The sequence below is a fragment of the Homo sapiens genome, chromosome 3 (assembly GCF_000001405.40).
Source record: "Homo sapiens chromosome 3, GRCh38.p14 Primary Assembly".
Classification (NCBI taxonomy): domain Eukaryota; kingdom Metazoa; phylum Chordata; class Mammalia; order Primates; family Hominidae; genus Homo; species Homo sapiens.
In genome coordinates this window covers 164,167,607-164,195,181 of record NC_000003.12, presented here as the reverse complement: position 1 = coordinate 164,195,181, position 27,575 = coordinate 164,167,607, and the positions used below count along the sequence as shown (strand labels likewise).

General features: G+C 36.5%; 1 long non-coding RNA gene and 1 other non-coding gene across 3 annotated transcripts in view, besides 1 other annotated feature; both read left to right on the top strand.

The window, feature by feature from the left end:
* The window catches only part of LOC102724419 (uncharacterized), a 169,359-nt gene that overhangs the window by 2,371 nt on the left and 139,413 nt on the right, over positions 1-27,575 (top strand). For both annotated transcript variants that reach the window (XR_001740997.2, XR_007096283.1), the window contains exon 2: positions 1,506-1,674. This is a non-coding gene — a long non-coding RNA (uncharacterized LOC102724419). The remainder of the gene's footprint in view (positions 1-1,505; positions 1,675-27,575) is intronic.
* Positions 14,663-15,862: an enhancer, noted in NCBI's record as "BRD4-independent group 4 enhancer chr3:163897108-163898307 (GRCh37/hg19 assembly coordinates)". NCBI's record gives its function as "activates an origin of replication core promoter dependent on BRD2, P300/CBP, MED14 and CDK7 cofactors, and independent of BRD4, by STARR-seq in HCT116 cells {active_cell/tissue: HCT116}" and the evidence as "EXISTENCE:reporter gene assay evidence [ECO:0000049][PMID:35650434]".
* Positions 23,626-23,711, top strand: MIR1263 (microRNA 1263). The gene has a single exon (NR_031665.1). It is a non-coding gene; the product is annotated as a microRNA 1263 (primary transcript).

The following is a 27,575-nucleotide window of genomic DNA, read 5'->3' as shown; positions in this document are numbered from 1 at the left end:
TATGTAAAATTTTATTCCTGCCGTCATGTTGGTAGCTGGTTGTTTTGTAGACTTGATTGTGTAATTGCTTTATGTTATCTGTGGGCTATATGCTTATGTGTGTTTTCGTGGTAGTAGGTATTGACCTTTCATTTCCATGTTTAGCACCCCCTTGAGGATTTCTTGTAAATCTGGTCTGTTGGTAATAAATTCCCTTAGTGTTTGCTTGTTAGAGAAGAATTTTATTTTCCCTTCACTTATTAAGCTTTATTTGGCAGAATAAAAAATTCTTGGTTAGAATTTCCATTCTTTGAGGATGCTGAAAATAGGCCCTCAATTTTTTCTGGCTTATAAGGTTTCTGCTGAGAGATCCACTGCTATTCTGATGAGGTTCCCTTTAGAAATGACCTGACCCTTCTCTCTGGCTGTATTTAAGATATATTTTTTCACATTGACCTTGGTGAATCTGATGACTATGCACCTTGGGTATGGTTATTTTGTACAGTATCTCAAGGGGATTATGTGTATTTCTTGACCTTATATGTCAACCCCTCTAGTAAGATTGGGGAGGGGTTTTTTTTATGAACATCTTCAAATATGCTTTACAAGTTGCTTACTCTCTCTCTCTTTTTCTTTCAGGAATGGCAGTGAGTTGTAGAATCAGTCTGTTTACATGATTCCGTATTTCTCAGAGGTTTTGTTTATGTTTAAAAATTCTTTTTATTCTTTATTTTGGTCTGATTGATTTAATTTGAAGACCTGGACTTCAAGCTCTGAGATTCTTCCTCATTTTGGTCTATTCTGCTGTTAATGCTTTCAACTATATTATAAAATTCTTGTAGTGATTTTTTTCAATTTTAAGAATTCAGTTTGGTTCTTTCTTTAAATGGTTATTTCATTTCTCATATTTTGAATTGTTTTACTGGATTCTTTAAATTCATTGGATTAGGTTTTACTTTTCTCCTGGATCTTAATGAGCTTCCTTGCTTTCTAGATTCTGATTCTGATTCTGTGTCTGTCATCCCAGTCATTTTAGTGTGGTTAAGAACAATTATGCAGGGGTGTGGGGTGGGGAGTAGTGTTTTCATCTGAAGGTAAAGAGACACTTTGGCTTTTTCAATTGCTAGAATTTGTGTGCTGATTCTTTCTCATCTGAAAGGGTTGATATTCCTTTAACTGTGGTGTAAATTGAGTATAGTCAGTTTCATTTCTGAATGCTTTCAGGTGGCAATTCCTGAATTTTTTTATTTGTATCTGAATTCTTGTCTTGGGTTTCACAGACACTGCATAATGGAAAAATATTTTTGGTGTTATAATTTTGGCTGATATCCAGTAGATGGTGCTTAAGAGTGATGGTGAGGATTTAGGCTCTTACATAGCTATTCCATTTTTTTGTGTTTTATCACATTCACAATAGTGCTCTGCGGTGGAGTGGGAAAGAAAGATGACCTCTCACCAGTTCCACTCTTGGGCCTTGAAGGAGGCCCTTCTGATCACTGGGTCCATGCCTCTATGTCCTTTCTTAGGTGTTCCAGGCCACAGGGCTTCCTCAAGCAGAGGCCACAGCTGGCAGACAAACCACCCCCTTCTTGGATCAGCCCTGCAAAGTGAAGTATGCCCTGCTCCCATGACAGCTTATGAACCCAGCATCACATCCTACTCAGTTCTGATAAAGAAGACACCTCTCTCATTCAGGTACTGCCAAACTGCATGTCTTGCTTGAATGGAAGCAGTCAAGGCTGGGGGAGTTCCATGTCCACTGTCTGGACATTTCCTGTGAGAACACAAAGCTGTGCCAAGGTGCTGGAAGCTCAAAACAATGAGGCATACCTGGCTCTGAACAGTGGGTGTAAAAGGAGTTACACAGTCTGTCATCAGGGTGGTTCCCAGGGCAACACAGAGCTTTGCCCATCCACAGCATTCAGGTAGGGGTGGGGTTGCTGTTCTAGAAGTCCAAGCTGGCAAGTCTTGCCTGGCCAGGGGCGGTGGGAGTTGGAGGTTTGCATGGTCCGTGGTATGTGAAGTTTCTGGGGGAATACAGTCCTGTGCCCACCTGAAGAGTTCAGGCGTGGGTAGGGTCACTGTGCTGGAAGCCCAGCAGAGCCTTGTCTAGCAAGGAGAAGTAGGGCAGTCTGACCACTCCCCAGCACTGTAATTGCAGCCTCTATCAGCATTATGGCAGCTGGCACCAACCTGTGGGACTGTGGGGCTCCCCATGGTCTCGAGCACCGTCTTTGCAAAAACTCAAGGTGGCTCTGTTTTTTATTCTAGAGATCTATGGGAGTCAGGTGATTCTCTGGCTTCCCAGATTGCAAAAGTACCTGTGGTAAATGTAGATTCCCCAGGGGCTCTTACTGTCTCTCCATTTCCCTGTATTAGGGAGCTTCTCCCAGGTCTATACCACATCCAGGTGGGTGGCTGCTAAGCCTCACTCTTCTTAATTCTCCATGCATCTCCTCACTTCTTTGATGGATCTCAACATGGTTTCTTAGACAATCCACTTGAAGAGTCAGTATTTACTCAGCACTTTACTTTCTGTCAGAGTGGTACACACTAACTGCTTCTAGTCAGCCATTTCAAATAAAAAGAATCCTAGATCTTTATTTTCTATTTTACTTTTACATTTATTTTTTCATTTTTTCTTTTATTTCAATAGTTTTGGGCGGATATATAGCAGTACATATAGCGCATTTTCTTTATCCACTTGCGAGCTGATGAGCATTTAAGTTAGTTCCATATTTTTGCAGTTTTAAATTTTGCCACTATAAACATGCATGTACATGTGTCTTTTTCATATTAGGATGTCTTTCCTTTGCAAACCCTAGGTCTTTAAGGATGGTACTAAGAATTGTCATTCCTCCACTTCTAGATAAAATATTATTTGTGATTTACTATATTCACTAAAGACGAAGAACTTTCAAGAATTCTAATTGGCATTCCCCATTGTGGCATCCCTTATTCCAGAAGCCAAGGCCTTGATGAGATGATTAAAACTTCCAAGTATGTCAATCTCAATTATGCACTTCGGAGCAAGAGAAAGAACGGATAGAAGGGTCTGCAGATTCAATGAAGTTACTATAGGCTGAAATTTAGCCAGCATTCGATTTTATTCCCTAGCCATGTATATCCCCTTGCTAACAGAGGAGTCACAGTGCTACTTTATGCCTACAGTCACCAATGTCAACTCACATACTGGGTTTAGTAGTCCTCAGAATATACAGATATTTCCTTTCCCCAAGTCCATAAGGAAAGGGTCCTCTGAAAAGGGTCTGTGAATAAGCTTTACAGTTTATACTTAAAGTGGTATGGCATGATACTCTATCCTAGGGACCTAGACACATCTTTAGCTAATGGATTTTGGAACTGTAAATTGGCTTAAATTTGAAAATCAAGGAGGGACTCATACATTTCCATTGAGGCCATCCTTTCATCCTTCTGCTTCTACCTTACTGCTTTCTTTTGATTATAGATATTAAGTACCCCAATTGTTTGTCTCTTTTTACCTATTGGCATACCACTTTCTATTAGCCATCTTAACAGGTCTCTGAGGGTCAATATCCTTTGACTATCCCTCTAGCTTTGTTGGTCATGATGGCTATTGTGACTTCTTGAACATAACACTCTGCACATGTCCTCTATTATTTTGAGGCCTCATCTTCCTTACATGAATAAATTAAGCATTGTGATCACCTTTCCTACTTTCATCCTTAATCTTCAGTGGGGTGCCAACATTGAATTTTTATAGAAACATATCATATTTGAAAAGATCTATTACATAAGAAGAAATCACATCATTTATATGGTTTTCTTTGGTAGGTAAGAAATGTATCCTGAATAAATACATCAGGATACTTGTCTATAATGATTTATTTTGACGTCCTGTCATAATATCAATACATATTTGTTATCTGAAACTTAATGTGTAGTAAATAACTATGCATGTTTTAATATTCTTTAAAAATAAGTAAATATAGTTAATAAGTATGTTAGAATAATCATTAATCAGAGTATGAATAGGAGATTTCTGAAATTTTGAAAATCACGATTAATATATCTACTTTGAATCATTGAAATAATGAATTACCTAGAATTTACAACAAGTTGTACTTGATGACTTTAGGTTAAAATTAGTTTTTAAAAATTAAATTAATATTAACTGACTTGAAGTGTATTTAACAGTTTAATGAATTATTCAATTACATGTATATTCAGTTAGCTTTTCTGATTTCTGTATAGATTACATATATATTACATTCCCTACTTTGTCTTTGATAGTTCCATTTTGTTTTCCCACAGCTCCTTTTAAAGTACTGTCAGCTGCTTTGGTGTAATGAAGTAAAAAATCACATCATCTCTAAATTATCCCCCACATCATCAAATTTTAGAAGTAAATTCAAGGTTTCCCTTATCATGGAAAAATAGACATTGTTAACATGTTTGCTTTTTTGTGATGACAAGACATTTTATATATAACAAAGTATTTTATATCATACAAAATACTTGATATCAATTATTAATATTATATTTTAAAGATTTTGTTTTGAAAGCTCCTTAAAAAAACATGTTTTTCTAATGGTCCAAAAGGAATACTGAATAGCAAAGTTTACAAAAAGAGAAAAGGCTTATTGAGATGCTTAATAAGCTAAACAGATTTAGCTTATTTTAGATTAGCAAAACCCATAAACTATATATTATTTTTATAATATGATATTTTTAAAGTATATATCATACCTAAATCCAAGTAGGAGTCCTGGTGAAATGAACACATCTCTCCTGTATTTGCATATAATCAGCATTTGTAGCTTTCAAACTGTATGCATTTAGTGGGCATTTAATACATGTTTGTATCCTTTGTTGATGTGTAGAATCCATTCCTAAAACATGAAGAATCAAACTCCCTAGCTTAGATTGTATTATTATATATACCAAGCCAATCTGCTAGAAATAAATCAATTTCTCCTGTTTTCATGAACGAGTACTGGAAGGTTTTGTTACAAAAGGATGCCAGAAAAATTCTGTACTTCCCTGTGATTTTATCTTCCAATAAGTATAACAGAGTTCCTAATATCAGGAAATCTAAATCAGTTACTTTTTTGTAATCACCCACTTGACATCTATGAGCACAAATATAGAGTTGATTTCAAAAGTGCTGATTTTCATTGACCTCTTTCTATAGTTACTTAATATATGTATTACATGTAAGGAAAGTGTTTCACCAATGCTCTTCAGTTATAACCTTATTACTTTCTGTCTAAGGAAAATGAAGGATATGTAATAAATTTCTGTGCTTTTTAACTACAGCTTCAGAACTAAATAAACCTGATATCCAAACCTAGAATTACTTCTTCCATTTCTGTGACCTTAGGTATAATTAGCTATTCTCATATCACTGGTCCTCCAGAGTTAGAATAATTGTGCCACCATTTATGGCTCTTAGGTGAAAGGATAATAAATGCAAAGCCTCTTCACTGTAAGCACTCAAATGGTAGGTATTATTTTGCTTTTGATTCAAGTACATGCTTTCGTCTTTATCATTAACATAAAATAAATTCATTATATAAGCAATTTTGTGAAAACATATCCCAAGAAATGATGAATTTGGGTTTCAAACTGTTAAAGGAAATCAATGTTTGAAATACAAATATTTTAAAATTATATTAATTTAAATGTGCTTTCTTAGCAAAGATGTTATTTTCTGGTTCTACGTTAGACCTAAGAAAGCCCAAAATGAGAAACTTAAAAGACTGAGTGCAATAGTTATATTTAGCTCTCCTAGCTGATTGCACACTGATTGCAGGAACAACAAAAATAATTCCTGCAATTAAATGGGTTGCCTAACTTGATAAGTACCTGTACACATTTAGCTGGATTCAAGGAGCTGGAATATATTTTAGAAACTTAACTGTGTAGGAAAGGCTATAGATTGTGTATTTGCAATCAACATCTTTTCTAAATGATGAAGTGGAAAGAAAATATATAATTTACTTTTTCCAGAATTCTAAAGCTTTATTCAATATGCTTTGCATATTTTATATTTTCCACAAATTCATAGCACTATGCAAGTGAAATCATATTTTCTATGTGTGTTGAAAACCAACCAGAACTGTTTCTCCAAATAATCAATTTTTTATTAATACTTTCATGAAAAGTTAAATGACCAATTTTATTTTGTAGTCAGCAAGTGTGTGTGCGTGTGTATATATATTTATATATACATGTATGTATGTGTGTGTGTATATACTTTTCTGAAAAATGTGCATTTTAGCCAATTGCCTTGTTGGCCGTTTCTATGTAGTAGATATGTTCTTGAAAAATCAGTGCAAATTATAATATAAATTGGTTGCATTCTTTTGTAAATTAATTAGAGAGCTAAATAATGCTTCCAAAATGTGGCAAAGAAAAAGGCATTGCACAGAAGTACATCTCCCAAAGTACCTTTAGATGAAAAAGTCTTTAGTGAATTTAGGCTTGGACAGGATTTCTGAATCTAAAATATTACCTAATTGTCAACACTTTTTGGTTTCTGGTTTTTCCCTAGATTCTGAAATTTATTGACTCCTTGTTAATTTCTTTGTTCATCTCTACAGTCTTTCATTGAACTATAATCTGATTATGGGTGCTGGGTGTTGAGGTTGTTTATCTTTCTCTTGTATATTTGTTCAAGTTTTCCACAAGGAAGAAGTTTCCATCTTCAGATATAATATAATAGAAAAGATGCAGTATTTCTGTGTTTTGGCCCAACATCTTTTCTCCCATATCAAAAATCAAACTCTTAAAATTGTGATTCAGAATTCAAAATAAATTCTGAATATACCTCTGAAATATAAAGCTACAACATTCCTAAGTGTTATGCAATTTATAAGCATTACTCTCTTTAGCAGCAAGCAATGGAGAGGCTGAGATAGATCCAGGCTTCCATTTGTAGTTATTGGCCTAAGTAGCGCATATGCAACCTCAGTAACTCAGGTTAGGACTGCTCAAGTTCTTAATTTTGTGACCGTTCACCCAGAAAGATGTGCATGTAAGAACATTAGGAAATAGCAATGTTGTTAACAAAGATACCTCTGGAAGTAATTTTATGACACAGAAATGTAGTCCAAAAGTTGAGGGACAGATAGATAGAAATTAGGCAGATGGCTGGACACAGGGGCTCATGACTATAACCCAGCACTTTGAGAGGCCGTGGGTTGATCACTTGAGTCCAGGAGTTCAAGACCAGCCTGGCCAACATGGTGAAACCCAGTCTCTACTAAAAATACAAAAAATAGCCGGGCCTGGTGGCGCATGCCTGTAATCTCAGCTACTCGGAAGGCTGAGGCACGAGAATCACTTTAACTTGGGAGGCAGAGGTTGTAGTGAGGCAAGACTGTGACATTCCACTCCAGCCTAAACAACAGAGGGAGACTCTGTCTTGAAAAAAATAAAGAAAAAAAAGCAAATTAGGCAGATGATTGGTAGATAGATCTAGAGACGAGAGAAGGGAGAATGAAAAGGGAAGAAGGCAAGAAGTTGAGAGGAAGGAAGAAAAGAGGAGGCTTGGTTGTGGAAGTGGGTTTTAAAGAGCTTTAAACCAATGGTCATCTCTTTATTTTTGCCTCTTATTGAAAATACTTCTTCAAAATATTTTCTCAATATTTTTGCCTCTTATTGAAATTACTTACTTGTTCATTATCTTTTCTCCTTTAATTATGCCTATTGTGGTACATGGCAGCAGCTTTGATTTCCTTTAGATTTCCTGCTATTGGCTATGCTATGCTACTCACAACTTTACTCTCAGGACCAAAAACTGAACATATCACAATTTCCTGAAGGCTTAAGACCTCAGCTTCATTTTTATTCACTTGCAAATATAATTATTCAAGCCAATGCCAGCCCCAACAATTTTTTTAATAATTTAAAAATTTTCTGTAATTTTTATAATTATATTTTCTATAATTTTATTAAAATGTCTATACTTTTTACAATTCTATGTTTTTCTATAATTTGGTATAATTTATAAATATAAATTTTCTAAATTTTTAATAATTTTATTTGAAATATAGGAATCTATTACATTTTTCTATTTTTAAATAATTTCTAATTTTTTCTATAATTTTCTATAACTTTTTAATAATTTTCTCTAATGACTTCTTAGTAAAGTCAAAATATTGACTTTGCTTAAAGAGAACATGATGATGATACACAGTACATTTTTGTTAACGTACAGTGTGAGAAACTAATTGAGATGCTGATTTATCCCTAATATTTTATTAAGCTCATTTAACGCTTAGTTTTAAATTGATTATTTGTTATTTGCTCAGAATTACACAATGGTGCAATGGAACAAAATAGAGAAAGAAAATAATTTTAAAAATCTACATATCAATTTATATTAATATTATGATAAGATGAAATTTCTATTTCATGAAAAAAGATATAACTATTCTATAATTTGCTATACTTTTGCAACTGGCTTTAAACACTAGAAGATTAATAAACAGAAGAGGTGGTATTGGGGCTTAGGCAAGTTTGATTCTAAACTAAATGCTCTTTCCAATTTTACATACTGCCTCCTTAAGTAGAAAATTTAATGAATTCTTTTTTCCTTCTAAAATAATGTTTTGGGAAATGTATACAATTTCGAAAAATAAAATAGTCTGCACATAGGTATTAATATGGTGTGGTATTTCTTTCCAGGTCATCGAGTTTGTTTATACAGATATATATATATATATATTTATTTATTTATTTTTATTTTTATTTTTATTTATATATATATATTTTTTAAGAAATGGGAATTGTAACAGTCTTAGTTTACGCTGCTATAATGGAATACCATCCACTGGGTGGCTGAAACAAGATAATTGTTTTTGCCCTTACAATTAAGGAGACTGGGAAGTGAATGATCAAGTTGCCAGCAGATACGTCTGGGCAGGGTACTCTTCCTGGTCTGCAGATGGCCCTCGATTCCTATCCTTATAGGGGAGGAGAGAGAAGAGACCATCCTCTTCTGTGTCTCTATAATGACACTAATAACATTCATGAGGGCTCTACCCTGGTGACCCAATCACTTCCCAAGCACACACCAACAAATACCATCATCTGGGGGATTTAGGATTTAACATAGAAATTTTGGAGGGACACAGACTTTCAATACATAGCAGTACCCTATGTATACACAATTATTGTTTTATATTTTTAACTCAACGTCATACTTTGGCATTTTTTTTTCTAGAAGTGACTTTTTCTTAGTTCTTGCTTAACTTACCTCTCTTCAGCATTTGACATAATTCATCAACCTCTTTTTCCATATTATTATAAAACAATTCTCTCTTGTTTTTTCCTGTACCATTTTGAATATCTGTTCTCATTCACCTTTGCATTCTCCTGCTCTGTGTATTTCAGTATTGTAGTTCTTCAGGGTTTCACGTTTGTTTTTCTGTTCTTACTCTAGAATCTTTTCTTGAGTAATTTTTTCCAGTATCATGTCTTCAATCGCACCCAACGTATTACAGACTGCTCAAACTGTTTATTGAGTAGCTGTATATAGATCTTCTGCATACGGGTGTGTATTAGTCTGTTCTCACCCTGCTATAAATAACCACCTGATACTGGGTAATTTATGAAGAACAGATGTTTAATTGTGACTGGGAGGCCTCAGGAAACTTACAATCATGGCAGAAGGTGAAGAGGAAGCAAGCATGTCATGGCAAGGCAAGAGAGAGAGAGAGAATTTGGGGGGAAGTGCCACACTTTTAAACCATCAGATACCGTGAGAACTCACTCACTCTCCACCCCCATGATCCAATCACCTCCCACCAGATCCCTCCTTCAACATGTGGAGATTACAATTTGACATGAGATTTGGGTGGGGACACAGAACCAAACCATATCCGTGTCCAAAAGTGAATTCAGGTTGCCTAAAAAATTACTGTCTTTTTTCTACTTAAAATTTTCCATTACCTTCTTGATGAAGTTCAAATGTTTTAGTATATCGTATAAAATCCTTCAAGATGTTTCTGCCTGCTTTCCCAATGTTCATTCTTACCACTTTCATTCTTTTTCTGTGTTTCAGGCATATTATTTTATTTTAAATAACCTTCATTTTTATACTTTTCTGTCTTTGAACATTGTTCTATCACCCCCCCCAAAAATGCTCCACTTTAACAAGTTTTTGTCTGATTGGCTTATCAGTACTCTTAAAACAAGTTCTTAAATAACTTGTCTCAAATCAGTAGACCCTGAACCATATATGAAAATATTCCATAGCTGATACATTTTAGCTCTGTGTCTCCAACCAAATCTCATCTTAAATTTTAATTCACCTGTGTTGAAGGAGGAACCAGGAAGGAAGCAGTTGAATCATGGGGACAATTTTCTCCATGCTCTTTTCATTATAGTGAGTGAGTTCTCATCAGAGGTGATGGTTTTCAAGTGTGGCACTTCCTTATTCTCTCTCTCTCTCCTCCTGCCTTGTAAGACCTGCCTTGCTTCCCTTCACCTTCTGTTAGAATCCTAAATTTCCTGAGGTCTCCCTAGCCATGTGAAATTGTGGGTCAGTTGTACATCCTTTCTTTATATATTACCCGGTCTCAGGTATTATCTTTATAGTGCTGTGAGAATGGACTAATACAGATAATTCGTACCAACAGAGTGGGTTACTGCTATAAAGATAACTTGAAAATATGGAAGTAATTTTGGAACTGGGTAAATGGCAGAGGTTGGAACAGTTAGCAGGACTTAAGACAGGAAAATGAGGAAAAGTTTGCAACTTCCTAGAGACTTGTTGAATGGTTTTGACCAAAATGATAATAGTGATATGGACAGTGACATCAAGGCTGAGGTGGCTTCAGATGGAGATAAGGAACTTGTTGGAAAATCGAGCAAAGATCACTCACACTATGTTTTAGCAAAGAGACTAGTGGCATTTTGGTCCTGTCCTAGAGATCTATGAAATTTTGAATTTAAGAGACATGATTTAGGGTATCTGGCAGGAGAAATGTCTAAGGATTAAAGCATTCAAGAGGTGATCTGGATTGTTCTAAAAGTGTATAGATATATGTGTTCATAAAGAGATGACTTGAAATTGAAATTTGTATTTAAAAGGGAAGCAGAGCATAAAAGTTTCACAAATTTGCAGCCAGACCATGTGGTAGAAAATAAAATCCCAGTTGCTGGGGAGGAATTTAAACCTGCTGCAGAAATTTGTATAAGTAATGAGGAGCCAAACATGAATAATAAAGATAATGGGGGAAATGTCTCTAGGGCATGACAGAAACCTTTGGGGCAATCTCTTCCATCATAGGCCCAGAGACCCAGGAGAAATCAGTGATTTCATGGGCCAGGCCCAGGGCCCCCCTGCTCTGTGCAGCCTCAGGACTTAGTGCCCTTTGTCTAAGCCACTACAACTCCAGCTGTGTTTAAACCGGGCCAAGGTACAGGTTAGCCCATGGCTTCAGAGGGTGCAAGCCCCAAGCCTTGGTGGCTTCCCTGAGGTATTGGGCCTGTGGGTGTGAAGAAGACAAGAGTTGAGCTTTGGAGCCTCCACCTAGATTTCAGAGTATGTATGAAAACACTTGATGTCCAGGCAGAAGTTTCTACAGGAGTGGAACCCTCATGGAAAACCTCTACTAGGGCAATGCAGAGGGGAAATGTGGGGTTGCAGCTCCCACACAGAATACCTACTGTGGCACTGCCTAGTGGAGCTGTGAGAAAAGCAGCACCATCCTCCGGACCCCAGAATGGTAGATCCACTAACAGCTTGCACCGTGCACCTGGAAAAGCCACAGTCAATGTCAGCCTGTGAAAGAAGCTGCAAGAGCTGTAGCCTGCAGAGCCACAGGGAAGAGCTGCCCAAGGCCTTTTGAACTCAGCTCTTGCATCAGCATGCTGTGAATGTGAGACATGGTGTCAGAGGAGATTATTTTGGAGCATTTAGATTTAATGACTGTCCTGCCTGGTTTCAGGCTTGCATGGGACCTATGGTCCCTTTGTTTTCACAAATTTATCCCAGAAGGAATGGGCACATTTACCCAATGCCTGAACCCGCATTGTATCTTGAAAGTAACAGGCTTTTTTTATTTTATTTTATAGGCTTATAAGCAGAAGGGACTTTCCTTGTCTCACATGAAACTTTGAACTTGGACTTTTGAGTTAATGCTGGAATGAGTTAAGACTTCTGGGGACTGTTAGGAATTAATATGCTTTGTCTGTGTCCCCATTCAAATCTCATCTTGAATTGTAGTTCCCATAATCCCTATGTGTTGTGGGAGGGACCAGGTGGAGTTAATTGAATCATGGGGGCATTTTCTGCCATGCTGTTCTCATGATAATGAGTTCTCACAAAATCTGATGATTTTACAAGGGGCTTCCCCCTTTAGTTGGCACTCATTCTTCTCTCTCCTGCCATCTTGTGAAGAAAGATGTGTTTGCTTCCCCTTCTGCCATGATTGTAAGTTTCCTGAGGCCTCCACCACCCTGTAGAAGAGTGAGTCAGTTAAGCCTCTTTCCTTTATAAATTACTCAGTCTTGGATATGTTCTTATAGCATCATGAAAAAGGACTAATACAGTAAATTGATACCAGGTAGTGAGACACTGCTATAAGGATACCCAAAAATGTGGAAGCCACTTTGGAACTGGTTAACAGGCAGAGGTTGGAAGTTTGGAGGGATCAGAAGAAGACAGGAAGATGTGGGAACGTTTGGAACTTCCTAGAGACTTGTTGAATGGCTTTGACCAAAATGCTGATAGCGATATGAGCAATGAAGTCCAGGCTGAAGTCGTCTCAGATGGGGAGGAGAAACTTGTTGAGAACTAGAATAAAGGTGACTCTTTCTAAGTTTTAGCGTAGAGACTAGTGGCATTTTGCCCCTACATTAGAGATCTGTGAAACTTTGAACTTGAGAGAGATAATTTAGGGTGTCTGGCATGAGAAACTTCTAAACAGCAAAGCATTCAAGAGGGAACTTGGGTGCTGTTAAAAGAATTCAGGTTTATGTATAGACAAAGGTATGGTTGGGAATTGGAATTTATGTTTAAAAGGGAACCAGAGCATAAAAGTTTGAAAACTTTGAAGCCTAACAATGTGACACAAAATAAGAACCCACTTCCTAAGGAGAAATTCAAGCCAGCTGCAGAAATTTGCATGAGTAACAAGAAACAAATGTTAGTCACCAAAACTGTGGGGATAATGTCTCTAGGGTATGTCAGAGGTCTTCACAGCAGCCCCTCCCAACACAAGTCTGGAGACCTAGAAGAAAAAAAATGGTTTCATGGACCAGGCCCAGGGCCTTGCTGATTTTTGCAGTCTTGGGAATTGGTGCCCTGCATCCCAGCCATAGTTAAAAGGGGCCAATATACAGCTCAGGCAATGGTTTCAGAGGTACAAGCCCCAAACTTTGGCAATTTCCACATGGCGTTGAGCCTATGGGTGCACATAAGTGAAGAATTGAGGTTTGGGAACCTGCACCTAGATTTCTAAAGGATGTATGAAAACACCTGGGTATCTAGGCAGAAGTTAGCTGCAGGGGTGGAGCACTCATGTAGATCCTCTAGTAGTGCCATGTGGAAGTGAAATATAGGGTTGGAGCCCCCATAGAGTGCCCACTGGGGCACTGCCTAGTGGAGCTGTGAGAAGAGGGCCACTGCCCTCCAGACCCCAAAATGGTAGATCCACTGATAACTTGCACCATGAATCAGAAAAAGCTGCAAACACTCAATGTCAGCCTGAGAAGGCAGCTGGGAGGGGGCTTGTACCCAAAAACCACAGGGTCAGTGCTGTGAGAAGCCACCTCTTGCATCAGCATGACCTGGATGTGGGAACCCACCTTTTGCATCAGCATGGGAACCCACCTCTTGCATCAGCGTGACCTGGATGTGAGACATTGAGTCAGAGGAGATCTTTTCAGAGCTTTAACATTTGACTGCCCCAGTGGATTTCAGACTTCCATGGGACCTGTATCCCCTTCCTTTTTGGCCAATTTCTCCCATTTGGAGTGGGTGTATTTATTGAACGCCTATACCCCCACTGTTTCTAGGAAGTAACTAATTTGCATTTTTAACAGGCTCCTATGTAAAAGCGACTTGGACTTAGACTTTTGAGTTAATGCTGGAATGAATTAAGACTTTGGGGGAACGGTTGGAAGGACATGATTGTCTTTGAATTTTGAGAACATGAGATTTGGGAAGGGCCAGGTGTAGAATAATACAATTTGGCTGTGTCCCCACTCAATTGTTATCTTTAAATGTAAAATAGTTCCCAAAATCTTCCAATGCAATGGGAGGGACAAGGTAGAGATAATTGAATTATAGTGGCAGTTTCTGCCATGCTGTTCACATGATAGTGAGTTCTCACAAGATCTGATTGTTTTATAAGGGGCTTTTCCCTTCACTCAGCATTCATTCTTTTCTCTCCTGCTGCCTTGTGAAAAAGGATGGGTTTGCTTCTATTTCCACCATGATTGTAAGTTTCCTGAGGCCACCCAGCCCTGTGGAAGTGTGAGTCAATTAAACCTCTTTCCTTTATAAATTACTTAGTCTCGGGTATGTTCTTATAGCATTGTGAGATTGGACTAATGCAGGATAACATGATTGGGTTTGAAATGTAAAAAGGACATGAGATTTGGCAGGGGCTGGGGCAGAATGATATGGTTTTGCTTTGCATTCCCACCCAAACCTCATATCGAATTCTAATCCCCATGTGTTGAGGAAGTGACATGGTGGTGTGTCTGGATTTGGTGGGTTCTTGGTCTCACTGACTTCAAGAATGAAGCCGTGGACCCTCGCGGTGAGTGTTACAGTTCTTAAAAATGGTGTGTCTGGAGTTTGTTCCTTCTGATGTTCGGACGTGTTCAGAGTTTCTTCCTTCTGGGGGGTTTGTTGGTGTTGCTGGCTTCAGGAGTGAAGCTGCAGACCTTCGCGGTGAGCGTTACAGCTCTTAAGGCGGCATGTCTGGAGTTGTTTGTTCCTCCCATCCAGAGCTGTTCATTCCTCCAGGTGTGTTCATGGTCTCGCTGGCCTCAGGAGTGAAGCTGCAGACCTTCGCGGTGATTGTTACAGCTCCTAAAGGCAGGGTGGATCCAAACAGAGAGCAGCAGTAAGATTTATTGCAAAGAGCGAATCAACAAAGCTTCCACACTGTGGAAGGGAACCCGAGGGAGTTGCTGCTGCTGGCTCGAGCAGCCTGCTTTTATTCCCTTATCTGACCCCACCCACATCCTGCTGATTGGTCCATTTTACAGAGAGCTGATTAGCCCATTTTACAGATTGCTGATTGGTCCATTTTGACAGGGTGCTGATTGGTGTGTTTACAATCCCTCAGCTAGACACAGAGTGCTGATTGGTGCATTGACAATCCTCTAGCTAGAGGTAAAAGTTCTCCAAGTCCCCACTAGATTAGCCAGACAGAGTACTGATTGGTGCATTTACAAACCTTGAGCTAGACACAGGGTGCCGATTGGTGTCTTTACAAACCTGTAGCTAGACATAAATTTCTCCAAGTCTCCACCCAACTCAGGAGCCCAGCTGGCTTGGCCTAGTGGATCCTCCATCAGGGCCGCAGGCAGAGCTGCCTGCCAGTCCTGCGCCACGCACCTGCATTCCTCAGCCCTTGGGCTGTCCATGGGACTGGGCCCTGTGAAGCAGGGGGCGGCGCTCATCAGGGAGGCTCAGGCCATGCAGGAGCCCACGGCGGGGGGCAGGCTCGGGCATGGTTGGCTGCAGGTCTCGAGCCCTGCCCCGTGGGGAGGCAGCTGAGGCCTGGCAAGAATTTGAGCACAGTGCTGGTGGGCCAGCACTGCTGGAGGACCCGGCGCACCCTCTGCAGCTGCTGGCCCAGGTGCTAAGCCCCTCACTGCACAGGGCCGGCGGCACCGGCCGGCTGCTCTGAGTGCAGGGCCTGCCAAGCCCATGCCCACCCGGAACTCAGCCTGAGATCGCCACCCACAGCCCCGGTTCCCACCTGCGCCTCTCCCTCCACACCTCCCTGCAAGCAGAGGGAGCCAGCTCCGGCCTCAGCCAGCCCAGAGAGGGGGTCCCACAGTGCAGCGGTGGGCTGAAGGGCTCCTCATGCGTGGCCAGAGTGGGCACCGAGGCTGAAGAGGAGCCGACAGTGAGCTAGGGCTGCGAGGGCTGCCAGCACGCTGTCACCTCTCAGTGGGAGGTACTTTTATTACAAAGGTAATCTCCTCCATGTGGATGTCATGACAGTGAGTGAGTTCTCATGAGACCTGAGTGTTTTAAAGTGTGGCACTTTCTTTCTCTCTATTTTGCCACCATGTTAATGTGCCTTTCTTTCGGTTTGCCTTCCACCATAATTGTAAATTTCCTGAGGCCTCACCAGCCAAGCGGAACTGTGAGTCAATTAAACCTTATTTCTTTATAAAAAACCTAGTCTCTGGTAGTATCATTATAGCAGTGAGAATGGACTAATACAATGGCCGAATTAAATTTTACTCCTTCTGCTTATGTAATAGCCCTTCCATATCTTAGGGATTATAATACTTTGCTAATATCATGTACTTTTCCTGTATTATTTAATTTGGTGTTCTCATTATTTATAATTGTATTTAGCAGAATATACAATGCTTTTTGTGGTTAAATACAGAGATCTACCAATATTGTCTTATTTTTACTAACCAGGATAGTTTTAAACAGAAGTTAGCACAATTTTATTCAATTACTGTCTGAAAGAAACTTTTGTTTCTTTGCCATGATGAATTACCTGCATTCATATTAAATAATTCAATTGTATTTAAAATCTACTTAGCATAAATCTTCTCTGATTGTATTGTCTTCTGACAGCATTGTTTTGGCCAGTGTCTACTCATCCTGACTATTAGAAACTTGAATTCTAGGAATATATTGCCACAACAAATTTAAATTTTCTTTAAATGTATAGAATGAGAAATATATATCTCATTTAATCACAATGACAAATTAAGAAATTATTATCTCACTTGGCAGAAGAATAAAAATGCACATTACTGTTGAAAAAACTTGCTCTAAGTCATGCAAGTGGTAAGAAAATAAATCAGAATTTGAACTCATGAAACAAAACTGACAAATTCATTTTTCAAATTATAAAACAAAACTCATTAATTTTCTCCTTTTCAAAATTCTGCAATTTCAATTTCCTCTAACATTTTTCCTGTCTTTATTTTTATCTAATTTATTTTTATATAAATAATTTATTATTATTATCACTATCTATTTTCTCTATGAGTAATTACATGTGGTAGAACTTTCCTGTAGCTTTATGAGTAATAAAAATGTTTCTGGAAGCTACAAGATTTCTAATTATCTTATAAATTGCTCATCATGCTCATTATTAATCTCTGATCTATTATTCATAAATGTATATCTTCAAACGGCCAAAAAAGCCTTGGTGCAAACCCCATCTTTTTGTTTTTAAACTCCCAGTACTGGAGTGTATGTCTATAAAAATTCCTTCTTCAATGTGCAAAACATGTTACAGGCATTTTTAATGCACACATTTCTCCAAGGCTCTGAATGAATGCTCATGGGAAAACAGTTGTTAGCTCCTGAGTCCTTTGCAGTCAACAAGTGTAACTTTTTAATTGTTCATCCAGTATACTTGAATAAAAAACAAATTTTACTTTCTACTGAAGAGATCAAGAATTTCCATCCTTGTTAGTATATTGCCCAAATTATAAAAGTCACCAAAGCAAGTGAGAAAGTTTCTCATAAACTTATGGAAGGTCTTGCCTTCTAAGTATCCTGTTGCCTGCAAATCAATATATTACTCCCTGATATATTCTCTTCAAAAGAATATATCTGGGTCTTGTGTGTCCTGTATTTCTACACTGCTGATTGCTCCAAATAAGAAGTAAAGTTCATTTTTTGGATGCCAGAGAACCAATGTTTCAGTTTGGGTCAGTTTGGTTTAAACATAGTTCAGTTTGGTTTAAACATACATATTTATGTATGTCTAAATAATATGCCTTGGCTGAGCACAGTGGCTCATGCCTGTAATCCCAGCACTTTGGGAGGCCAAGGCAGGTGGATCACCTGAGGTCAGGAGTTCAAGACCAGCCTGGCCATCATGGTGAAACCCCGTCTGTACTAAAAATACAAAAAAAATCAGCCGGGCATGGCGACATGCACCTGTAATCCCAGCTACCCAGGGGTCTGAGGCGGGAGAATCACTGGAACCCAGGAGGCAGAGGCTGCAGTGAGCCGAGATCACACCACTGCACTCCAGCCTGGGTGACAGAGCAAGACTCTGTCTCAAAATAAATAAATAATAATAATATGCTTTAATTAGGTAAAACTTGTACCTACAGAATCACCATATATTTGAGGTTTGTTTTTTTATGTATGTTTTAATAACTTTCTTTCTCAAAATTCATCCTGTGATGTTGTTTTATGTGGTGGGGAGGGGGAGAAGCTACAGATAATATTTATAAAATCATATATATTGTAAAAGAAACTTATTGACAGAATATACAAATTGGTATAGATAAGATCTATAAATGCAATTGATTTAGATAATTATGCAGATGGATATTAACACATTTAAGTAGTGACATATATTTTAATATAATTACATGTATTCTAGGTAGGTCAAAAAATTAAAATAAATTTAAAAAACTCTTCAGATACTATGAAACACACTATGTTTTTCCAAAGACATTTACTTTGATTGCTAGATTCCTTATTTATAAAGCTATGCCTCTAGAGAAAATAAATCTATTAAGCAGCAATGTGATTTATTGAACTTATTTTCTTTATTAACCATAGTTGACCATATTATTGACTATTTTAAGCTAACATGTATTCTGTATCTGTAATATCTTATTAATGACTGAGAAGTTATTTAAAATTGAACCACAAATTATTGCCCTTACAAGTAAGCATACTTAGATTATCGTCCATAAACAAGGTAAACATGCATAATGTATGCATTTGGTGCAGTTGTTAGCAGACCTTCAAAATCAATATTTCTAATCTACTTTAATAGTATTTTAAGTAGTCTACCTCAAATCTTGAATAATAAATAAATCTGTGGTTTCCCATACACCACATTTTCTTTTTTGGAACACCAACAATGTGGCTACACTGCTTAAAATCATATATAGAATGTAAAGCCACAAAATACGGTAATCACTAATTAAATAAACAAAGCCACCACATGCATTTCAGAACAATTTAGGGTATGAATTTTACATAGATTATATTTCAAACTGTTGTTATATACTTATGGATTCTTAAAAAAATAAATATATAACATATTTTGAGCATGCATTTTGAGCACTTTAATGACCATCAATTCCTTAGGAATTGATGAAGATGTGCATAATTAATTATCAAAATTATCTTTTTTATTATACTTTAAGTTATGGGATACATGTGTAGAAAGTGCAGGTTTGTTACATGGGTATACATGTGCCACAGTGGTTTGCTGCACCCATAAACCCGCCACCTACATTAGATATTTCTCCTAATGCTATCCCTCCCCTTGTCCCCCACCCCCCGACAGGACCCAGTGTGTGATGTTTCTCTCCCTGTGCCCGTATGTCCTCATTTTTCAACTCCCACTTATGAGTGAGAACATGCTGTGTTTGGTGTCCTGTTCCTGTGTTAATTTGCTGAAAATGATGCTTTTCAGCTTCATCCATGTCCCTGCAAAGACATGAACTCATCTTTTTTATGGCTGCATAGTATTCCATGGTGTATATGTGCCATATTTTCTTTATCCAGTCTGTTTTGATGGACATTTGGGTTGGTTCCAAGTCATTGCTTTTCTGAATAGTGCTGCAATAAACAGAGGAGTGCACCTATCTTTATAGTAGAATGATTTATAGTTTTTTAGGTATATACTCAATAATGGGATTGCTGGGTCAAATGGTATTTCTGGTTCTAGATCCTTGAGGAATTGCCACATTGTCTTCCACAATGGTTGAAATAATTTACACTCCCACCAACAGTGTAAAAGCATTCCTATTTCTGTACATCCTCTCCAGCATCTGTTGTTTCCTGACTTTTTAATGATAGCCATTCCTAGTGGTGTAAGATGGTATCTCATTGTAGTTTTGATTTGCATTTCTCTAACGACCAGTGATAATGAGCTTTTTTTCATATGTTTGTTGGCCGCATGAATGTTTTCTTTTGAAAACTGTCTGTTCATATCCTTCTCCCACTTTTTGAAGAGGTTGTTTGTTTTCTTCTTGTACATTTGTTTAAGTTCCTTGTAGATTCTGGATATTAGCTCTTTGTCAGATGAGTAGATTGCAAAAATTTTCTCCCATTCTGTAGCTTGCCTGTTCACACTGATGATAGCTTCTTTTGCTGTGCGGAAGTTCTTCAGTTTAATTAGATCTTATTTGTCAATTTCAGCTTTTGCTGCAATTGTTTTTTGTGTTTTAGTCATGAAGTCTTTGCCCATGCCTATGTCCTGAATGGTATTGCCTAGGTTGCCAAATTGATTATTAAAATAATCTTTTCAGTTGAAAGCTTTGTTTTGGTTGTAAATCACTTTTTAAGGATGTATTTTTTCCTAGAAATTCTTAAAGTTGGCAAATTTTTAAAAACGTGTTATTGCTGAGAATAATTTCAAAGATCTTAATAGTTTAAAAACACTAAACATTTTGAAAGAAAGGGTATGCTAAAGCTACATGATTAAAACTAATTAATTATAAAAGTCAAATTGGAAAAATAAAGCATATTTTTAATAAGTAAAAATAATGTTATCTATAAATGTAAGTGTTAAGTGTTTATTTCAGAGTTCATACCAGAGCAAAATAGGCTCTCTTATTTTCAACAACATTTAAATCTTAAACCAGCAGCTCCAAGTTCTATCTGAGCTTTTATATCATTGGTCTCAATAAACCTTATTCACTTTACTTGTGCCAATAGAATATCTTACAACCCATAAAATATACATTTTTTAAAAAAAAATAATAGACCGCATTATCTTCTTGTGGTTTCCTTTTCAAACTGCAGATAGCTGGGGGCACAGGAAATACAAGGATGACATTGGTTTGCTATATTTTACACAGTGTGAGGTATTTTTTTTAAATGAGCAAATGTCAGTGAAATTAAGAAGGTTAAAGAAGCCAATAATAGTGACCAAATACATTATAATTAATTTTTAAAATATGTATTTGAGCCAAAAATGTTTGTTGCATGGAATATAATAGGATAAAAATGTCTTTGCCTATAACATATTTATAATGTATCTCCCAGATCTCCAAATACAGTCCTTTTGCATTGTAAAAGAGATATTGAACTGTTTTTTGCCTACACTAAAACATGTTGAAATAATTACCTATTCTTATATCCTGAAAATTGAATCAACAATGGAGCTGCGAGCATGGTACTATAAGAGTGAAGTGGCATTGGGAGTGAGGGCTGACAATTTTTGGCTGTACATTAGTACTTATGAGCCACTAAGGTGACATTTGCTGTGCTAGAAGAGGTCATTTACTAAATACACTATGAACCAAAACAGCAAATGCATATTCAGAATGTAAACTGTGAGTCCCTTATCACAATTAGGGCCAAGCACAGTTTAAACACATTTCAACTACTTGTAATTTACTTTTAATGTTGCAATTTTTAAAAGAACAGTCATCTTCATCATCTTAATATAACATTTTTATTTCAGAAAGGTATATAAAAAATAATCACCTTTTGTGTTTAACCAAGAATGCAGTTTTTATAGAGTGTATATTTAGATCATCATTCTAACGGCAATTAATAGAGTATGAAATGTTACAAATTGGAGAAGTCTTGTAGAAATATAATTTACAAGTTTCAAGATACTTTTACTAACAAAATATATTATTTTATGATATTTTCATTTTTTGTCTCTACTATGTAAAAGAAAATATCAACACTCTCTGATAATCTTGAGATATAATATTTTATCATTATTTACTAAACAAAAAGATAATGCCTGGGTTTTGTTTTAACTTTTAGCAGACTAAATTGACAGAAGGAATACTTTTGTCTCAATATAATTTTTTTTTATATTGGTCACAGCTTTACCTCTGCGGTAATCAGAGAAGGAAGAATTAACCTTGAGTATATTCTTTGGCAACCAATTATTTAAAAATATAGAAAAAATTCTTGTGCAATAGTTTCATCTGTTACTTTGAATTGCTGTCTGCCTTAATAATTCATTTTCATGTGAACAAATTTTGAGCACATCAAAATGCTAATCAGTTGTCAGAATAATACAGTATTCTATGCAGAATTCCCTTTTGTGGGAACAAACAGTAGGATCACCTTATATAACCTAGAAGAACATTTTCTTCCTAATTGGCAGAATATATCTGCCATTTTGTGGTGATTCTCTGCTGGTTATAACTAACTTTTGTTGTTTGTACATTTGATCACTGTTTTCTATCCATATGTTTGTGTGCATGTATTTAGTTACATGACATAGTAAAGATTATTTTTTATTTAGATGATGTAGCTATAGTAATTATTTGGATGTGGCTCTGTTACGCCCATTTGGCATTTGATTATTTCAATGGTCTTACAATTTCTTTTCAGATATACATATATAATCTGCTAGACACTAGAAGCCTGAATTCCAGGGACTCTCAATTGTTTGATTTTATATTTATAACATTCTGAGTGGCAAACACAAAAGTTGTTCAATGAATTAATGTTTAGAATGTAAAGATATTTCATAGTTCATGCTATTTACTTTTTCCTGATTTCCATAATTATATTATCCTTTTTTATTAGGTGTTAAGCCTACTCTTCTTCTGATCATTAAATATACTTAATAGAGAAAAAATATTTAAAAAAATAAAAATTTAGGATTCATAATCCTTACTATTTTGTAGACATAATTGTTAATATTCTTTATTACTTGCATATGTGTTTTAATTTACATAATATATGCAACTTTCACAGAACATAATTTTTGAAATTTTTTTATGTATATTATAATATAGGTATAATATTATAGTATTATATAATTCCGTTACACTGACATATATACAATTTACTCAAAATTACTGTTAATATCAAACATGAGAATGGTTTCTAATTTTCTTATGATAAATAACCTTTCAATGATCATCTTTGTCTACATATTTTGGAATGCATTTTGCCATTTTAAAAGTAATTTATTACTAAGATAAAACTGGTTCAAGATTGTTAGAAACTTAATGCTTTAGATATATAATTATATTATTTGTAATGTAGGGGAGGAGGGTTTTCCTCTACCCTGTTAAGGTCCCAAGATGGTTCTGAAAATAAAACTGACAAAAACAGATTAACATGAGAAAAACATACAAATTTATTCAAGTTTTACCTGGCACAGAAACCTTATAAATGAAGACCTAAAGAAACAGGGAGTCCTATATGTTTTTACGCATAGGTTTGATGAAGAGCAGACAGTTGTAGAGAAGTCTGATTGGACAAAAAGTGGTATGATCTAATAGTAATAGCTGAGGGGAACTTATCCAGGCCTGTTTGTTTAGATTCTTCTCTATATCCCTGTGTTTTCCAGGATAATGACACTCCTTTTCTCTAGGTATAGGGCGGGCATCTCTCACATGAAAATCTTATTACTTGTTCCAGGGGACAATCAGAGAATTATTTCTAAGTTTTATGACCTAGTTGAGGATAGAAGGGCAGCAAAAGCTTCACGGGAACGTACTGCTTCTATGACTCTCTAATTCCTTCAGCTACCCCAAAATATGGTACCCTGGCATACTGAGTATTTTAATACTGGCATACTCAGTATGCCATGTTGCCATATTTTGGGGTAGCATGCTGTAAGTCCCATCAGTACCAAGTCCATTCTTATTTATAGTCCCACTATGAGTTCATGAAAAGTACTGCCCAGCTTGTGCATCACTGTAACAAATGAAATTGTTTAATAGTTGCTACTTAGATCAAAATTATATATCTTGATTCTTAATGTGTTGAATATTTTGCATATTATTAACTAAATGTTTTATTTACCTAATTGTGAAAAGTGTCTTCATCTAATTTTCTATATTTTTTATTGTCTTAGAAGTCTAATTATTATGTTTTTCCTGTAATAACATTATTAATTTACTTATACATTTGGAAAAATATTTTTGTATTTTCTGTTTAACTTCTAATATTTTATAGACTTTTCAATGTGCATTTGCTTAAATATGCCTTTTCCAATTACTGTTGAAATATTGTTTCTAAAGTTATCAACTTACATAAATTTTCCTTTTAAGTTTCTGTTTGTAATCTACTTTTCAATAAATACTAGTTGAGCATTTATTATGTCTAACAATGTGTCAAACACTAGAGATTAAAAACAATTTCTAAATTATAGAAAATAATCTCAGGGATTTTAAGATCTATTAATGGAGAAAGGGAAAATAAAGCAAAAGCTACAGTATAGTGTAAAAAGTACAGTGACACAGGTATGAAAAGAGTGGAAACAGGAGGTGATATCTATTTGAAATTCAGGAGAGGAAGAGAACACTTCTTAGAGAAAATGACCTTTGCAATAGTCCCAAAAGCTGAATGAAACTGTAAATCAAAAACAAACTTCTAAGGCCCCCACTCATCTGAATAGACCCCTCCTCTCAGCCAAGGACATTCCAGAGTTAACCTGAAATACTAGTTAAGGCCGTGATGGAAGAGGAGTTCCAGTATGCCTCATTATACCCCTCCAGTATTAACATCATCACAGACCTTATGTGTGATAAGAAACATTCTCAATGTGCTCTCTCTGAAGCCTACTGCTTGGAGGCTTCATCTGCGTGATAAAACCTTGATCTCCACCACCTTTTATCATAACCCAGACATTTCTTTCTACTAATAATAACTCTTTCAACCAATTGCCAGTCAGAACATTTATAAATCCACCTATTACCTGGAACCCCCCCCATCTTCAAGTTGTCCCACCCCGTCCTTCCAGATCGAGTCAATGTATATCTTACATGTATTGATTGATGTATTCTGCCTCCCTAAAATGTATAAAAGCAAGGTGTACCCTGAGCACCTTGGGCACATGTTGTCAGGACTTCTTGAGGCTGTGTCACAGGCACATCCTTAACCTTGGCAAAATACACTTTCTAAATTGACTGAGACCTGTCTCAGATACTTTGGGTTCACAGAATGTAGCCTGGTGTGAGACAAAAGACAGGGATTCAAAGCAGAAGAACCTGTTTGCAAGTGCAAAGCTGATCAAAAGAGTACAGCTCAGTGTGTCAAAATCTGACACTGAGGTTTCTGTAGAAGAGAGAGGTATAGAACATTTCAGGAAATAAGTAAGAGGAAGGCCAGATTTTGAAGAGAATAGATGATGGTATTTGGACTTTATCTTGAAGGCAGTGGGAACATCAGTCAAGATTCAATGTGGAAAATGGCATCAGGGAGCAATGATTAATGGTAAAATCACCAGTTAGAATGCTGCATGTTCTCACTCATAGGTGGGAATTGAACAATGAGAACACATGGACACAAGAAGGGGAACACCACACACCGGGACCTGTTGTGGGGTGGGGGGAGGGGGGAGGGATAGCATTAGGAGATATACCTAATGTTAAATGATGAGTTAATGGGTGCAGCACACCAACATGGCACATGTATACATATGTAACTAACCTGCACGTTGTGCACACATACCCTAAAACTTAAAGTATAATAATAAAATAAAAGAATGCTGTTAAAACTCAGGCCCTAGTCAAATTACGTGAATTACCTACCAAAGACCTCAACATAAAATTGGAATATCAGTTTTCTCATTTAAGATGGAGATAGTAATCCCCACTACTAAGTTTTATTACAATGATTACATTAGATAGTTTATTTAAAAAATTCAAATTAAAATCAGGTATAGAATAAGCACTCAATGGAATAAATTAAAATGAAGTAAGTGATTAGAGTTCATGTCCTTTGCAGGGACATGGATGAAGCTGGAAACCATCATTCTCAGCAAACTATCACAAGAACAGAAAACCAAACTCTGCATGTTCTCACTCATAAGTGGGAGCTGAACAATGAGAACACATGGACATTGGGAGGGGAACATCACACACTGGGGCCTGTCGGGGGAGGGGGGCTGGGGAGGGATAACATTAGGAGAAATACCTAATGTAGGTGACAGGTTGATGGGTGCAGCAAACCACCATGGCACATGTTTACCTATGTAACAAAACTGCACGTTCTGCACACATACCCCAGAACTTAAAGTATAATAAAAAGAAATAAAACAAATTAAAATTTTAATGTTCAAGGAAACTAATTTATCCACTCCACAGTTTAAATAATTTTATCACTTCCTAAAACCAATTTATAATGTAACATCTGGAAATTCCAGCCTAGAAGCCTCACAAATTCATCAGAGACCACTTTAAATTATTTTGCATTATTCTACTTACAAATTCATCCCTCCTGCTTTACTTCCACTTCAATGAAGGGTGCTGGTCTATCACAGATAAACCAGAGGGATATTCTGAAAACTATATTTTGGAATTCACTAATTTCCACGTGCAAAATCTACACCAGGATCTGGTTCACTATGATAATTCCAATGCATTTAAAAAATGTATTTATTTTCTATTCACTGATACATTGTGTTTTTTCCTCTGTATAATTGTAGTTTATCTGAGATTTGGAAAGTGAAAACTTCAACAAAATAATTTTTAAGTGTGGGCATCTTAATACCACCAGTACTTGCTGAATTTCCTCGTTATAAAGTATTGTGTTGATTCTGCATAGGAATCTCTGTTTGTATTACTTTGATTTTTACTTCTCTGACTATTCTCTCTCCCAGAATTACTGTTTCATGGATATTTGATCATATATTCTGTGTCTGCTTTATTTTTGGTATCTTATTATTTCTCTTAAAAATTCTAAAATAATGTCTAATATTGACTTTTAAAAAAATAATATATGATATGTCATGCACTGTCTATTGCATTGCACAATCTGTCTCTTGTCAAAACTCCTCATTTCTGATTCAAGATCACAGGAAAATGCAATTAATATCATCTGTTTATTTAAATTTTTATTCTATTTTATGAAGGAATTTGTTACTTTGTTTTCTTAGCATTGTACATTTGTTTGGAAGTGGGTTTTTTTTTACATCTCTACTGATGTTTCTGTATTTTCTGATCTTTAGAGAAAGTGGCCTATGTTTGCACAATATTAGGTTTGGAATTGGATGCTGCATAAATTTATTCAACACATTGATCTGACAAAATAAAAGTGACAACCACAGTTTATCTAATTTCAGTTTGTTAGATCAAGGTTTTCTTGCCTGTAAGACATTAAGAGTAAGAAAATAGAAAGCTTGCTCTGCAAAGGGCATTTCCTGAGTCATGTTTTTCTTTTTTTGAAAAAACACCCTATGTAAAGTAACTTAAGAATCCTTCCCAAATAATTCTTGAAAATGACTTGTTCCCCTAAATTGTCCTGTGTGCTTCCTTTGCCATTAGTTTTTGGGACCTCAGGCAAAAATAGCAATTTCTCATGGAAGACAGAAAGTAGATGCAAGGAAAAAGTCATTTCATAGTCAGGGAATCCATTTTTATGCCAAGATATCTGGTGTTTTGCTTGTTTTACGCGTTGGGAGGAGCCTAAAAGTAGCTGTGATATGTCATTTCTTTATTCATCAATGTCTTATTTTGTCTATATTTTTCAA